Source organism: Homo sapiens, chromosome 19 (genome assembly GCF_000001405.40).
Source record: "Homo sapiens chromosome 19, GRCh38.p14 Primary Assembly".
Taxonomy (NCBI): Eukaryota; Metazoa; Chordata; class Mammalia; order Primates; family Hominidae; genus Homo; species Homo sapiens.
This window is the reverse complement of record NC_000019.10, coordinates 23099181-23116490: the sequence shown is the minus strand read 5'-3', so window position 1 is coordinate 23116490 and position 17310 is coordinate 23099181. Positions and strand designations below refer to the sequence as shown.

The following is a 17310-nucleotide window of genomic DNA, read 5'->3' as shown; positions in this document are numbered from 1 at the left end:
AGGTTGCAATGAGCCGAGATCGTACCACTGAACTCCAGCCTGGTGACAGAGTGAGATGAAAGGAAGGAAGGAAAGGAGGAAGGGAGGAGGAGAGAAAGAGAGAGAGAAAAAGAAAGAAAGAAAAGAGAGAAAGAAAAGAAATAAGGAAAGAAAGGAAAGAAAGAAAGAAAAGAAAAGAAAAGAAAAGAAAAAGCAGAATAACCACAGGTAGATCACTATCTGGTGACCACCTTTCTTCCAGAGATCAGACACTGAACAAAGGATGATGGGGCCACAGGGGAAGAAAACTCTATGTCTTCAGATCTGTCCACAGTCTGGACCTCCAATGTTAGATATGAAGAAAACAGATTAAAGGCAAAATTATTTTGCTATTTGGCCTTGGCCCTAAGTGTCAGGATGTAGTTTTACGTTTTCTCCTGTGCGTGCGGGGACTAAGGACCAATCACATGCATACATATCTACATGTATTGCAGCGTTACTCAACATTATCTTACAACACATCTAACTTTAAATCAGGGGAAAATATTAGTACCTTTATGGAGCCCACTGTTAGAAGGTAACTAGTAATCAACCTGTCATTAAATCATGGCACCTATCTGCACTGGGTGCATGTATTAGTTAGCTATTGCAGCATAACCAACCATCCAAAACTTATTAGGTAATAATTGAGATGGTCAGCCATTTAGGCTGGGCTCACTGGGGCCATTCTTCTGGTCCCAGCTGAGCTCCTTCAGACATGTATCAACAACTGCTTCTTGACTAGGAAGCTGTGCTTCTGGGGGTAAGCTTCTGCTTCTGGGGGTGAGCTTCTGCTTCTGTCAACAGAGGCACTTTGCTTCTCTTCCCCACCCACCATGTTATGTTATCCTCCAGCTGGCTAACATGTGCTTTGTTCATGGAGAGGGCAGCATTCTGAAAGAAAAGCAGAAGCATTCAAGACCATTTGAGCCTAGGCCCCAAACTGGCACACGGTCATGTTCACAGGTTTCTACTGACCTGAGGAAATAAGGTCAGCCGTATCTAGGGTCTGGAAAACAGATTCCATATCTCAATGGGAACGGCTGTAAAAAAGCACGTGGCAAAGGATATAGGAGGGATGAAAAATTGCTGCAATTTCTGCAATTAGTATCATTCTGCCTTTTTTGCATATGTGGTTTATACAACTCTTTCACATGAAGAAACTTGTCCAAAGACCCAAAGCTACTAATTGGCTGGGCTGAACCTCAGGATAAATTCTGACTCCAAAGCTCAGGCACCTCCATAGATCAAACTATATTACTAGAGTAACTGCCACAGACCCTTGAAATTCTGGAGAGTGACACTTCTGCAAAAGAAGACAGTTTTTTTTTTTTTTAGATTTGTGCCCACATAGTACTGTTTATTATTGGAAATAATCCTGTCAAGAAATTGCAGAAGCACATGGTGGTTCACACCTGTAATCTTAGCACTTTGTGAGGCTGAGATGGGAGAATAACTTGAGCTCAGCAGTTCAAACACAGCGTGGGCGACATAGTAAAATCCTGTCTTCATGAAAAAAAATTAGCCAAGCATGATGTTGCATGCCTGTAGTCCGAGGTACTCTGTGACTAGGGCAGGAGGATGGCTTGAGTATGGAAGGTAAAAGCCGCAGTAAGCCATAATTGATTACACCACTACACTCCAGCCTGGGTGATAGAATGAGACCCCATCTCAAAAAAATTGCAGAAACATTTTGAAAGGACATAGAATAATTTGGAAAAATAGCTGAGGGATGAGTTTAGAAAATCAAAGCCCAACAACAGATTATTCATTTTTGATCAGAGAATACATTTGAAAACTTCTAAAAGAAAAACAACTTTAGGGCCGGGCATGGTGGCTCACGCCTGTAATCCCAGCACTTGGGAGGCCGAGGCGGGCGGATCATGAAGTCAGGAGATCGAGACCATCCTGGCTAACACGGTGAAACTCCGTCTCTACTAAAAATAAAAATAAATAAAAATAAATAAAATAAAAATAAAAATAAATAAAAATAAAAAAATTAGCCGGGTGTGATGGCGGGCGCCTGTATTCCCAACTACTGGGGAGGCTGAGGCAGGAGAATGGCGAGAACCCGGGAGGCGGAGCTTGCAGTGAGCCGAGATCGCTCCACTGCACTCCAGCCTGGGTGACAAAGCGAGACTCCGTCTCAAAAAAAAAAAAAAAAAAAGAAAAGAAAAAGAAAAACAACTTTAGATAAACTAAATTTAACAGAGTTTTATTGGGCAAAGAGGGATTTGCAAATTGAGTAGCCTGTGGATCCAAAGTAGGCTCTGAAATACTCCAGCACAGCAACATGATGGTGAAAGATTTATGGACAGAAGAAGCAAGGTGACATCAGAAAATAGAAGTGAAATACAGGAACAGCTAGATTGATTACAGCTTGGGATTTTCCTTATTTAAACATGGTTTGAACATTTGACATCCTTTTATTGGCCAAAACACAGTTGTTGGTACAAAAATGAGTACAGTCTATTTACACATTCAGTTAGGTTTCAGTTTACTATGTAAACAAAACAAAACAACAAAAAAACTTATTGACCAAACTTAAACATGAAAGGGGGTAGATTTAGGGTATAATTAAACAATTTCTCCTTTTTTGGTCATCTTCTAAATTTTGATAGACCAAAACTTTAGACATTGATAACACTGTCACCATCAAAAATGTACTTAGTCTCAGATTCCACTGTGAAATAGCAGAACTATGGGTTTTGTAAAGTGGAATCAAGAAATTCAGGTTATTATTTTATTATTATTTTTAAAGGTTTGAGTAGAGGGAAACCCCTTGTGTTAAGATCTGCTGTTTACAGAAGAAAAACAAAACCTACAGAATCTACCTATTTCCTTAAATTTTCAGTTTGATTTTGTCTGTTTGGACCTAGTGCACAAGCTCAGTCCAGAATGATGGCCTCTAATAATTTTGTTCAAAAAATTTTCAACAGTGCACAGTGTAACCAAAACTCAGGGCCTTAGTACCACTGTTTCCATTATTTAGGGTCTTTGTTCTTATGTCATTCCTAGGTTATGGTTTCATCATAGTTACATATGTCTTTGAGTTTCTGTCATTCCAGTTAGTGAGAGACAATTTTATATTCTACAGGTGATTGCATGAAAACATTTCTAACTTTTGAGAATACAATGCAGCAGGGAGACTACTATTTTGACTACCAGGAGGATAATACGAAGAGTTTGAAGCGTGCTTTTTAACCAGGGTCCTCATGAACCACCAACTAACATTACATAGATCAAATAATTAGCTATAGTCTACTTATTTTAACCAAACAGCCTGTTCATTAATCCCCTACAACTGCATCTCTGTAATACCCAATGTATTTCTCCATGTGCAACTACAAGAATTAGCAACTGCAGACACTTCTGTTTATACAGTAAGTAATCCAAAGAAATTATATGATTCAGCACAACTTTAGCAAAAAATTTAAAGTCTATTGTGTAACCATAGCCTTTACAGTGCAATCTGCTATAAAGCCCTATGATAGGGGATACATTTCTAACCATTGCCTCATTTACTCTAAACCAGGGGGAAAAAAGACCTATCAAAGGATGCCCATTTAGAAAAGTAATGGCACCCTGGCAATGCTCTTTAACCTATTTTGAATAAGTTCTCTTTAACTTGTGAAATAGGTTAAGAGCAGTGGACACACATTCTGTTTCTGATGAGACAACAAATGTCCCATTAAAATTTCTCACCCATATTGGCCTTCCAGTTTTTTTTTTTTTTTCTTCTATTTTTTTGAGACGAAGTCTCGCTCTGTAGCCCAGCCTGGAGGGTAGTGGCGCGATTTCAGCTCACTGCAACTTCCACCTCCCGGGTTTAAGCGATTCTCGTGCCCCAGTCTCCCACGAGTAGCTGGGATTACAGGAGTGCACCACCACGCTGACTAATTTTTGTATTTTTAGTAGAGATGGGGTTTCACTATGTTGGTCAGGCTGGTCTCAAACTCCTGACCTCATGATCTGCCCACCTCAGCCTCCCAAAGTGTTGGGATTACAGGCATTAGCCACCGTGCCTGGCCTGCCTTTCATTTTTTACCTATAAAAGATGTTATGTTTTTTCACACGTTGGCTGCAAAATTCTCTACATATAAGTATACCCAATGAGTGCACACAAAAGATGCTTTTTAAATTTCTATTGTTTGTAGAGCCATAAACAAACTTAACTAAGAGTATCATGATAGCAAATGTGTCTTGATTTTTGATCTTATTAAAAAAGCTATCTACATAAAGATATCCATCTGCTTTTTAGGAGAAATCTTTCTGGTTAGCTTTAAGATCTCCTATGGGTTTACAATTAAAGAGTCTGGAGGGGCCCTTCTAAGTTGTGAGATTATCAACCCAGCTTTCAAAGTCTTGATGTCTTGCTTCAGTGTACATGGCAGGCAGACTCAATCTCTGGGTTCTAGATAATAAAGGGTTTTACTGTCCACAGTCAGTAGACTATTAAGGCTTTCTTCACCTTAAGGCTTTCTTCATATGCTTTGTCATAATGCATTAAAGCCTTTTTGAATTTAGTAATATTAGACTTCAGTAGCAGAAGATACATGAGGTTCTCTTAGGTGCATAGGCCTTCCAATGACTATTTTTAAATGGCCAACATATTTTTTCCACTCTAAATGGATCTGATATGTCATCAATCTGCAATTACAAAAGCAATCCAGTCAATTTAGTTAGTTTTGCTCAATACTACTGTATCTATCTTTTTTTTTTTTTGAGACGGAGTCTTGTTCTATCTCCAGACTGGAGTGCAGTGGTGTGATGTCGGCTCACTGAAACCTCCGCCTCCTGGGTTCAAGCAATTCTCCTGCCTCAGCCTCCCGAGTAGCTGGGACTACAGGCATGCACCACCATGCCCGGCTAATTTTTTGTAATTTTTAGTAGAGACGGGGTTTCACTATGTTGATCAGGCTGGTCTTGAACTCCTGACCTCAAGTGTTCCACCCACCTCAGCCTCCAAAACTGCTGGGATTACAGGCATAAGCCACCATGCCCAGCCTAATATCTTGTTTAACAGTTTTACAACTTGTCTAGAGAAATAAGTATCTTTATCACTGAAGATATGAGAAAACATGTATCCTAATATCCTTTTAGTTACTGTTATAACATCAACCCTCTTGCATGAGAAAACTTTTATACAAGAAAACATGCATTAAAATGACAATTAAATAAAATTTCTGTATAAATGTTTAAATGGCTCATCAGGTAGCAGAAATGTACAAGAAGTTTTGATTGTCTTATTGGGATTATATGCTTGACAAAAAAAATTGGTCTTAACCTATTTTAGTAATTTAGAAGAGTCACCACAAACTTAATTTATATTTAATTTAGATTATTTTATCTCTTCTGTGATGAGTAATGGAATGCAGAGCTGTTAATAATGGAAGCTTTAAGAACTCAGGAATGAACAAGTAGCTGTTGGCTGTCTAGGTTCTCCAAGAGTCCACACTTAACATTAAATTTGTCCTCTTAAATACCAGGTTTCTACAATTTAGGTGCACAGCACTGAAAACTGAGGGGTTATCATAGGTAATTTGACTTAGGCCACAGAGTTCATTCAAATGGCATGTCTAAAAAACTTCAGTACTGGCTGATTTAACACAATATGTGGCAGAATATTTTTCTAATATTTAATTAATCTTTGTTTTGCTTGGGTTAGCAGTTTTATAAGAATCAATCTCTTCATTAGGATTCTCAGAGTCCTTACCCAGTCCAAACAATTAATCCCAAACTGATCAGAAACCTATACTCGACTTTACCCATACTTTCATAAACCTCCTTAAAGACACTATATTTTACAATTTTGCAAGCTTTTGGAGTTTTGAGAAACTGCATTAGAATTAGACCATTAACTGTGGAAATGACTTAAAATGGTTATAAAGAGGCCAGACACGGTGGCTCATGCCTGTAATCCCAGCACTTTGGGAGGCCAAGGCGGGTGGATCACCCAAGGTCAGAAGTTCGAGACCATCCAGCCTGATCAACATGGTGAAACCCCTTCTCTACTAAAAATACAAAAATTAGCCAGGCATGGTGGTGCATGCCTGTAATCTCAGCTACTTGGGAGGCTGAGGCAGGAGAATCGCTTGAACCTGGGAGGTGGAGGTTGCTGTGAGCCAAGATCACACCACTGCACCCTAGCCTGGGCAACAAAAGTGAAACTCCGTCTTAAAAAAAAAAATGGTTATAAAGAGGCCAGACACGGTGGCTCATGCCTGTAATCCCAGCACTTTGGGAGGCCAAGGCGGGTGGATCACCCAAGGTCAGAAGTTCGAGACCATCCAGCCTGATCAACATGGTGAAACCCCTTCTCTACTAAAAATACAAAAATTAGCCAGGCATGGTGGTGCATGCCTGTAATCTCAGCTACTTGGGAGGCTGAGGCAGGAGAATCGCTTGAACCTGGGAGGTGCAGGTTGCTGTGAGCCAAGATCACACCACTGCACCCTAGCCTGGGCAACAAAAGTGAAACTCCGTCTTAAAAAAAAAAATGGTTATAAAGAAACAAATAAAAGAAATCGATTATGTCTTCAGCCTACAATAATTTGTCATAATAACCATAATTATGACAATTAGATATACTCAGATAAATTAGATTTTTAGAAATTTCATACATTGGCTGGGCACGGTGGCTCACGCCTGTAATCTCAGCACTTTGGGAGGCCAAGGCGGGTGGATCACAAGGTCAAAATATCAAGACCATACTGGCCAACATGGTGAAACCTTGTCTTTACTAAAAATACAAAAATTAGGCTAGGCGCAGTGGCTCACACCTGTAATCCCAGCACTTGGGGAGCCTGAGGCGGGCTCAGGAATTCAAAACCAGGTCAGGTCAGGAGTTCAAAACCAGCCTGACCAACCTGGTGAAACCCCATCTCTACTAAAAATACAAAAATTAGCTGGGTGTGGCGCCTGTAATCCCAGCTACTCGGGAGGCTGAGGCAGGAGAATCACTTGAACCCTGGAGGCAGAGGCTGCAGTGAGTCGACATCTCACAACTGCACTCCAGCCTGGGTGACAGATGGAGACTCCGCCTCAAAAAAAAAAGAAAAAAAAGGAAAAAAAAAATTAGCTGGGCGTGGTGGTGTGTGCCTGTAGTCCCAGCTACTTGAGAGACTGAGGCAGGAGAATCACTTGAACCTGGGAGGCGGGGTTGCAGTGAGCCAAGATTGCACCACTGCACTCCAGCCTGGTGACAGAGCAAGACTCCGTCTCAAAAAAAAGGAAATTTCATACATTTTGAAATAAACATTAATAACATTTATTAAAATATTAAGTTGAAGATCAAACATTTTTGACAATGCTTTCCATGTAATTCAACAAAAAAAAAATTCTGTTTCTTATTCTTTTATATGCTGCATTGGCACTCTATAGCATCCAAAAGTTAGAGGTCAAAAAAGACACAATTTTTTGGCTGGGTGCTGTGGCTCATGCCTGTAATCCCATCACTTAATGAGAGGCCGAGGCAGGTAGATCACCTGAAGTTAGGAGTTCGAGACCAGCCTGGCCAACATAGCAAAACCCCGTCTCTACTAAAAATACAAAAATTAGCCGTGCATGGTGGCACACACCTGTAATCCCTGCTACTTGGAAGGCTGAGACAGGAGAATTGCTTGAACCTGGGAGGCAGAGGTTGCAGTGAGCCAAGATCGCACCACCGTGCTCCAGCCAGGGCAATAGAGTGAGACTCTGTCTCAAAAACAAAAACAAACAAACAAAAAAAAAAGACAATTTGTAAGCTAAAATTTGATTTGGAAAAGCCTGTCAAATATGTCAAAGGATTAAAATAGTTTCTTGGTATGTGTAGGCTATTTATGATTTTCAACACTTACTAAAACTACTGTACCTGAAACAATCTCTTACCTTGAATTAAAGTGACTATAGACCGAGCTGCTAAGAAGACATTTTATTCTGTTGCAGTTTAGCAAAGTATTTGAGTACATCTTGAAGCTGTCTTTTGATTTTTACAATGGCAGCGCTGCTTTTCAAAATCCCAAAGTCAGAAGCAGCCATGGGACAAATCTCAGCAGCACTCATGATAATCACACACAGTGAATCCATCCCTCATCCTAAACCAATTGTTTTCATCCCAGACTGCATGTAAAAATCACTTGGGGCAGCGTGGGGGTGGGAGGGGGTGGTGGTGTTAAAAATCCCCTAAACACAAATTGCAACACCCTAATTAAATCAGAATTGCTTGAGTTGAACCTGGGCAACAGTGTGATTTTAATCTGTATAGGTGATGACAGAGCAGCCAAGCTTAAATGCCACCGCTGTAAATTAACATTTTTAGGTGACCTAATTGTAAATTATTTCTCAAATGAATGTAAAAATGTTTGCTGCTAAGTCATGGCCTTTTAGTCTAACCAGTATTACTAAATTATTCTTCACTGAACCAACCTTGCTGTTGGTTTTGTGCCTTAATCAACCCAGTTCCATATATACTGAGTACCCACTGAGCAAGACACTGTGCTAGGTGCCTCGGCGTTGGCAATCATTGCTGTGAGGGGACATTTTCTGGAAAAAACAAACAACAACAACAAAAAAATTGCATTCTCTTAAAATAAAAAACATACCATGAACCAAACTGAGGTAAAAATAAAAAGACCTACAGTTTCACCCAAGGGGTGGGGCTTTAATACTCCTCTTGGAATATTACAATCTGTATGATCTTGTCCTGAGTGTGTTCCACCATAAACAAACCAAAAGATGCTGCCATTATTCTGAGATGAGTTAGCATTTTGTGCAAATATGTACTATGTAATTTTTTGTTGATATAAAACATTCATACAGAAATATACGTGGAAATCATTAATTCATGCAAAGCTTAATGAATTCTTACCAAGTAATACACTGCCTGTAATCCCAGCACTTTGGAAGGCCAAAAGGGACAAACTGCTTGAGCTCAAGAGTTCAAGACGAGCTTGGGCAACATGGTGAGACCCTGTCTCTACTTTAAAAAAATAACAAAAAACAGAGCTGTGGTGGTTTTTTTTTTTTTTTTTTTTTTTTTTGGTATTTTTTTTTTAAAGTAGAGACAGGATATCACCAGAGGGTCCAGGATACTTGGAAGTCTGAGGTGGGTGTCATAAGTCTTATTGAAAAAACAGGCCAGGTGTGGTGGCTCACACCTGTAATCCCAGCACTTTGGAAGGTCAAGGTGGGCAGATCAAGGGGGTTTGAGACCAGCCTGGCCAACATGGTGAAACCCCATCATTACTAAAAATACAAAAATTAGTCAGGTGAGTTGGTACACACCTGTAATTCTAGCTACTCAGGAGGCTCAAACATGAAAATCACTTGAACCTGGGAGGTGGAGGCTTCAGTGAGCCAGGAATGCACCACTGCACTACAGCCTGGGTGACAATGACTGTCTCAAAAAAAAAAAAACAAAAACATGCGCAACTCCGGTCCAGCATCACATCATTTATTCTAAAATTCTCCCTTTGATGCTAACATTTTTCAAGTTCAAAAAACAGGCAGTAATTACTATGCGTGTGTGTATATGCCAACATATAGTTTTAAAAATTGCTAATTCATATGCTTATGAAAAAACAACAAGAATACAGTTTGTGTATAGTTTTTGACTCTTGCAGTATTCAATCAAAACACTGTTTTTCAAAGTGATTTAAATTAAGACCTTTCATTCCAACCTTTTTTTTTTTTTTTTTTGAGACGCAGTTCTCGCTCTCGTGGCCCAGGCTGGAGTGCAATGGCACGATCTTGGCTCTTCATAACATACACCTCTGGGTTCAAGTGATTCTCCTGCCTCAACCTCCCGAGGAGCTGGGATTACAGGCATGTGCCACCATACCCAGCTAATTTTGTGTTTTTTGTAGAGATGGGGTTTCTCCATGTTGGTCAGGCTAGTCTCAAATTCTCGACCTCAGGTGATCCACCTGCCTCGGCCTCCCAAAATGCTGGGATTACAGGCATGAGCAACCATGCCTGGCCTCATTCCAACCCTCTTTAATAGGGTTAGGTAATACATTTCTATTAGGTTAAGCTCCTTTTAAAATTTTCTACATTGTATCTAAATATACTCCAAATCAATGTATTTTTTTTGTTTTGTGTTGTTTTGCAGAGGAAAATTTATTCTCTGTGATGTTCAGTTTCATAAGATTTGACAACTGTCTAGAGTCACATACCCATCTTCAGAGTACCACACAGAACTGTTTCATCGTCCTAACTACTACTACTTTTTGTTATTCTTTCTCCTCTTCCTCCTGCTTTTCCTTCCTCCTCCTCTTTTTTCTTCCCCTTCCTTTTCTCCTCCTCCTTCTATTTCTCCATCTCCCCTTCTCCTTCTCCTTCTGCTTTCTTCTTCTTTTTTTTAGGAAGGTCTTGTTATATTGCTCAGGCTGCTCTTAAAATCCCTGACTCAAACAACTCTCTCACCTCAGCCTCCCAACATGCTGAGATTATAGGTTTGAGCTATCAAGCCTAGCTTGATTATAATCAATCTCTATAACTTTCTTTTTCTACAATGCCATATAATTGGATCATGTAATATGTAGCCTTTTGGATCTTACTTCCTTCACTGAAGGAAATGCATGTCTGACTCATGCATACTGTGGCGTAGATCAATAATTTGTTTTTTGTTGTTGTTGACAACTAGGATGCTATTTTATGGATGCACCACAGTTTATTCAACTGCTATAAAGCAACTGGTTTATACCTAGCTTTTTGCAATTGAAAATAAAGTTAGCAATACACAGCCACAAAAAGGTTTGCATTTCAACATTAGTTTTCACTTTGCTTTAGTAATGACCTAGGAGTGGATATCCTGGTAATATGATAAATGTATATATAACATTACAATAAACCGTTAAATTGTTTTACTGTATCATTTTACATTTCTAGTTTTAGTTGCTGTAAATCCTCATCAGCACTAAGTCCTTGCAATTTTTCTTTACATGGTTGCCATTCTCATAATTGTGTGCTCTCATTGAGACATATGCTTTTTCTTTTCCTTTTTCTGCTGGAAAGCCCAATTTATATAATCCATGTAGAAAGAAATGTATAAAATATTGTAGAAAATATTGGGTTCTGGCCAGGCATGGTAGCTCACGCCTGTAATCCCAGCACTTTGGAGGCCGAAGTGGGTGGATCATGAGGTCAGGAGTTTAGGAGCAGCTGGCCAAGATGGCTAAATCCTGTCTGTACTAAAAATACAAAAATTAGCAGGGCATGGTGGCGGGCACCTGTAATCCCAGCTACCCAAGAGGCTGAGGCAGAGAATTGCTTGAACCTGGGAGGTGGAGGATGCAGTGAGCCGAGATTGTGCCACTGCACTCCAGCCTGGGTGACAGAGCGAGACTCCATCTAAAAAAAAAAAAAAAAAAGAAAAGAAAAAATCATAACAGGACTGAGTTGTTTGCAACATAGCCTTTAGTCCTATACTCGCCCTGATTATTTGCATAAGGTGAGCAAAAATGACTATCTCTACATAGGCCTTTTAGATTGGCTTCGATGGAAATCTTCCACAAGGAATAAGACCTTCTAAAGCTGAGCACAGCCATGTGTTTGTATCCTCAAATACCTGTGAGCTGGGTAATCCTTTCCTTTTAAGGTCCCAAGACAAACTTGGAGCTCCTAGGCCTGTTAAAAAGTGATATTTTTCACTGACCACAGGTCAGGAACGCTGTACAGAGACTGTGTAGACAAGGATATGAGGGCAGTTTTTTCAAGGGGCTTTTATCATCTCTGCAAGTCAAGCTTGACTCTTTAAAGGGAAGCATACCCTTTCAGTCAAAGCCTTGGTTAAAACAAACAAACAAACAGTTTCTCCAGTTGCATCCTGTTGCTAAAGAAAATGGATTCTTATTGCACTCATACAAACAACTATATTGCCATAAGTTGAGAATACTCACAGATAGTTTCCAAATTCTAGAGGAAAGAGGCAGAGAAAAACAAACATATTCCTAATTTTGTTCATAGGAGTATACTTTACTCAATTATTGAAGGCCATAAATAGTAGTTAAAAACAAGTTTCCTTGACTCTAAAAAATTAAACAAGGATCAGCAATATACCAAGCAAAAGTCAAAAAGGTTGCTTTAGTTTTCTGAGTGCAGTCCATTTACTTAACTCTTGTTTTGCTTGATATTTGTGAACATTTTAGCTCCTCATGAGTCCTGTGCATTTTTTTTTTTTTTTTTTTTGAGATGGAGTCTCTCTCTGTCGCCCAGGCTAAAGTGCAGTGGTGTGATCTCAGCTCACTGCAACCTCCGCCTCCCAGGTTCAAGCGATTCTCCTGCCTCAGCCTCCCGAGTAGCTGAGACTAGAGGTGCCAGCCACCATGCTAATTTTTTGTATTTTTAGTAGAGTCTGGGTTTCACCGTGTTAGCCAGGATGGTCTCGATCTGAACTCGTGATCCACCTGCCTTGGCCTCCCAAAGTGCTGGGATTACAGGTGTAAGCCACCACACCCGGCCCTGAATCCTGTCCTTTTTTCCTTTATTCCAATGTCACAATCTCCAAGGCTATCAGAAACCTGTATTTGAAAGCACCTGTGAAAGTTCTATAGTTTAATATAAACCATCTTTTAAAAATAATTAAGACAAGACAACACTTGTCTGTGAATAACAAAATGTCCAGGTTAGTTACAGTTAGAAACACAATTGACAAAGAAGTTTGGCTATCTCTGTGGTTTACAATAACTTAACATAACAACCTTAATTACCATTGATACCATATATTAGAATTTTAGAAATCCCAAACAATTTTGGAACATATATTAGTATTATTCACCAAAATATAACCTAAAGATGGAATAAACACCATTTTGCCAATCTCATGTACCTAAACATGTCAAATAATTCTGTTTACCTCTCTTTTAGATACTCCAGGGACCCTCTGAAGTATCCAAAAGCCAGGAATCAGGAAAGGCAATTTTGAAACTAAAGTATGATTTTGGGAAGCATGTTAAGTGTTAGAGATTTGAAACACTTGATGTTATAAAATAGAATTTCAGATTATCCTAAATTATTTATTTTGTTACAATGACTCCAAAATTTTAAAGAAGCAACAATCTGTTATAACCGTTAACAAAGTTTGCTAAAAAGCAGATTAGTGCATTACGAGTACCTTGTTGTGCTTTTATTTCAATTTTTTATTTACAGAAAAACCATGTAGTACCTTTTTGAATTTAGTCAATATAACCACACATGGAATTCTTTGCAAGATTTTTACAATCCTTCCACCATTTGTTTGAACTTTTAGCTCTATTTTGTCTAATTCAAAACCACCTTTTATTCTCTCAGGTTCAGATAGAAAAATTCTCACTTGCCTATAAACTGAATTTAGAAATGACTCATGATTTCAACTCTGGCCGGATGTTCATATATGACAGTCACAATTTCAACTGTGGATTTTTTCCATGTGTGAGATTCAGGACTTACCAGTGGACCCTGTCCATGTGTGAAGATGACAATTTTAATGTTTGCTGGGGTATGCATATGAGAAACACAATCTCACCTGTGTTCTGAACGCTGGAATGGCAATCTCTGTACAGTAAGAGATTTATATAGTATAAAAGAAAGTGGTATTTCTCTAGGACCTTCGTACAAGAAGACCCATGACCATACTCATGATTTTAAGCCTAGCTATAAGAAACAGGATCTCTCCTATTGGCTGGTTTGAGGTATGAGAGTCACCACCACACTTGTGGCCGGGCACGGTGGCTCATGCCTGTAATCCCAGAACTTTGCGAGGCTGAGGCAGGCAGATCACTTGAAGTACGGAGCTCGAGACCAGCCTGGCCAACATGCTGAAACCATGTCTCTACGGAAAATACAAAAATTAGCCGGGATTGGTGGTGTGCACCTGTAATCCCAGCTACTTGGGAGGCTGAGGCAGGAGAATCCCTAGAACCCAGGAGGTGGAGGTTGCAGTGAGCTGAGATCACACCACTGCACTCCAGCCTGGGCGACAGAGCAACTCCATCTCCAAAAATAAAAAAAATAAATAAAATAAAAAAAAAAAAAGGATCAACATCATCACACCTGTGAGCTAGACCAAGGCATTTTACAATCTTACCTGTGAATAGGGAGAGATAAGAGTCACATCACCTGGGTTTTTGGCCAGGAGTACATCACAATCTTTTCTGAAGGCAGGGACCAAACAGGAGTGTCACATCACCTGAATACTCAACCAGGAATATGTTACAGCCTTCTCCTGAAAGCAGGACACAGACAGTACAGTCACACCACATGGGGGCTGAGCCCAGCAATAGGTAACAATCCTCTCTGTGGTCAAGGCCCAGTTACCAGAGACACATCAACTAGTACCTGGGCCTAGTGATAAGTCACAATGTTTCCTGTGGACAGAGTGCAGGCAAAAACGGAGTCACATTTCCTAGGTGACTGATGCAGAGATATGTCACAAGGCCCTCTGTAGACAAGGCCCAGGGAGGAGCCTCTATTTTACAGGTGTTGGGCCTCATAATATGTCCTAACATGCAAAATAGTTAGGGCACAGGCAAAAAAGTAGTCACATAACCTGAGTGAAGGGCTTAGAAATATGTCACAATGCACCCTGTGAGCAGTACCAATGCAAGAAAAATAACTCACATCATCTGGGTGAAAGGCCCAGCGAGGCCGGGCATGGTGGCTCATACCTGTAATCCCAGGACTTTGGGAGGCTGAGGCGGGCAGAACACGAGGTCAGGAGTTCGAGACCAGCCTGACCAACATGGTGAAACCCCGTCTCTACTAAAAATACAAAAACTAGTTGGGTGTGGTGGTGCATGCCTGTACTCCCAGCTCCTCAGGAGGCTGAGGCAGAAGAATCACTTGAACCTGGGAGGCAGAGGTTGCAGTGAGCGGAGATTGCACCATCAAGGTGCAGAGTCAAGCGATATGTCACAATCTCATCTGTGGGCTGGGCCAAGGCAGCAAAGTCAAATCACTAAGGTGGGTAGCAGATGCATACAATCACACCTGCAGAAAAGTCCAGGAATTAGAGTAGAAATTCCATATATGTCCAGGTGCTAGGTATGAGTCAACACTTTCTGTACGTTGGGTCTAAGTATGTGAGTCACAATATCAATGGTTGACAGAATGTGGGCAGGAAAGCCACAATTTCTTCTGCAGGCTTGTCCTTTCAGTGAAGTCACAGACTCTTATGTGTGCTGAATCTTGCTCTGAGAGTCACCAGTCCACCTCTAGTCCAGATCCACGTGAGAGTCAATTATTCAACTTTTCACAGTCTCTGTGTCTGACATTCAGAACCTCAATATGGGAGAATGACAATCTTTACTGTTGCCTGGGTGTACATTCAAAAGACAAAATCTCACGCATGTGCTATGTTCTCTTATGATAGTTTCACTTGATGATTTATACAATATGCAAGAGTGGTAATCCTCTGTGACCTTTGTCCAAGAAGATCTTTCCTGTGGTTCCAAGCCCAGATATGAGCATCAACATCTATCCTAACTAAACTAAACTATTGGTTTAGTCCAGATAGGAGAGTCCTCACCTTTTAACAAGCTGGGTTTAGAAATGAATCACTGCCGGGCATGGTGGTTCACACCTGTAATCCCAGCACTTTGGGAGGCTGAGGTGGGCAGATCACGAGGTCAGGACTTCGAGACCAGCCTGGCCAACATGGTGAAACCCTGTCTCTACTTAAAATACAAAAATTAGCTGGGCTTGGTGGCGGGTGCCTGGAATCACAGCTACTCAGGGGGATGAGGCAGGAGAATCGCTTGAACCCAGGAGGCAGAGGTTGCAGTGAGCCAAGATTGCATCACTGCACTCCAGCCTGGGTGACAGAGCAAGATTCTGTCTCAAAAAAAAAAAAAAAAAAAAAAAAAAAAAAAAAAAAAAAAAAAGAATCACCATCCAAATTGTGGCTAGATGTTCAATGATGACAGTCACAATTCCAATTGTGAACTGCATTCATGTGTGATTCAGGACTTCACCAGTGGACTCTGTCCATGTGTGAGGGTGACAATTCTCAAGATTGGTGGGCTGTGTATAGAACACGATCTCACCTGTGTGAGGAGCCCTGTTATGACATTCTCTGTAACACACTAGGGCTTTATATATGTCAGAGAGTGAGATTTGAACAGAAAGACGACTTCCTCATTTTCCTAAGCCTACCTAGGAGCAACATTAACTCTATTGCTTTCTTCGAGGTATGACAGTCATTACATCTTTGTGCTTGGCCACGATATATGTCACAATCCTACCCATGGGTAGACAGCAAGCACAAGAGTGACATTAACTGTGTGCTGGGCCGGGGTATGTCACAATCTTCCCTGAGGGCATGGACCAGGAAGGAGAGTCACATCACTGGGCGTTCGACCTCAGTGATTGGTGAAGACATATATCGCAATGACTTCTGTAGACAGGGTCCAGGATGAAGACTTATATCATCTGGGTGTTAGCCTCAGGCATATGTCACAATAGCCTAAGTGGGAAGAACACAAGCAAGAGAGTCACATAACTTAGGCCCAACAATATGTCACAATACACCTATGCGGCAGCACCAAGAAGAGAAAACTCACATCACCTGAGTGCAAGGCCCAGTGATATGTCACAATGCCTCCTGTGGGCTATATCAAGGCAGAACAGAGTGACATTACCAAAGGTCTGGGTCCCCTAATATGTCACTGGGTACTGGGCCCAGGTGAGAGTCAAATAACTCAGACGTTGGGCAGAGGCACATGTCACAATCACACCTATAAGAAGGTCTTTTGGTGACATTAAAAATGACAAGGTCTTGAGTCAAGGAATGAGAGTCAACATCTCCTGCAAGTTGGGTCTAAGTACAAGAAGTCACAATCTCAATGGTGGAATGGATTTGTGTATGAGAGCCTCAATTTCTCTTGTAAACCCTGTGCCTTAGTGAAGTGACAGCCACAAAGGTGTGCTGAATTTTGGTTAAAGAGTCATCAACCCAACTGTGGACAGAATCCACAAACAGAGTCCATTTTCCAACATTCAACTGCCTCCCAATGTGAGATTCAGAACCTCAGAAGTGGGTTGTGTTTATTTAAGCAGATGACAATCTCTACTGTTGACTGGTTGTGAATATGAGGGTCACAATCTCACCTCTGTGCTTGGCCCTGTCAAGACACTCTCTGTACCATTTGAGGGCTTTATATGGTATGCATGAGTCACAATCTGCTCTGAGATTTTTGTGGTGCTATGGACCTATGATCTTATGCGGCTCTAAGTCTAGGTATGAGAGTCAACATTCTCCGAATGGCTGGGTCCACAGAGGACAGTCCTCACCTGCCTATGACCTGGGTTTAGAAATGAGTCACCATCTCAACT

At 40.7% G+C, this 17310-nt stretch overlaps 1 protein-coding gene across 15 annotated transcripts in view; it reads right to left on the bottom strand.

Annotated features, from left to right (window-relative positions):
* Nucleotides 1-17310, bottom strand: part of ZNF730 (zinc finger protein 730) — a 72011-nt gene that overhangs the window by 30731 nt on the left and 23970 nt on the right. For 4 of the 15 annotated variants that reach the window (XR_001753564.2, XR_001753565.2, XR_001753568.2 and 1 more), the window contains one exon: nt 9439-16441. The exons of 8 other annotated variants lie outside the window; for them this stretch is intronic. The gene's annotated coding sequence lies outside the window, so the exon portion shown is untranslated. Of the gene's footprint in view, nt 1-9438; nt 16442-17310 lie in introns of those variants that run through there. 3 more of the 15 variants (XR_001753566.3, XR_007066501.1, XM_047438004.1) reach the window with 2 other exon arrangements.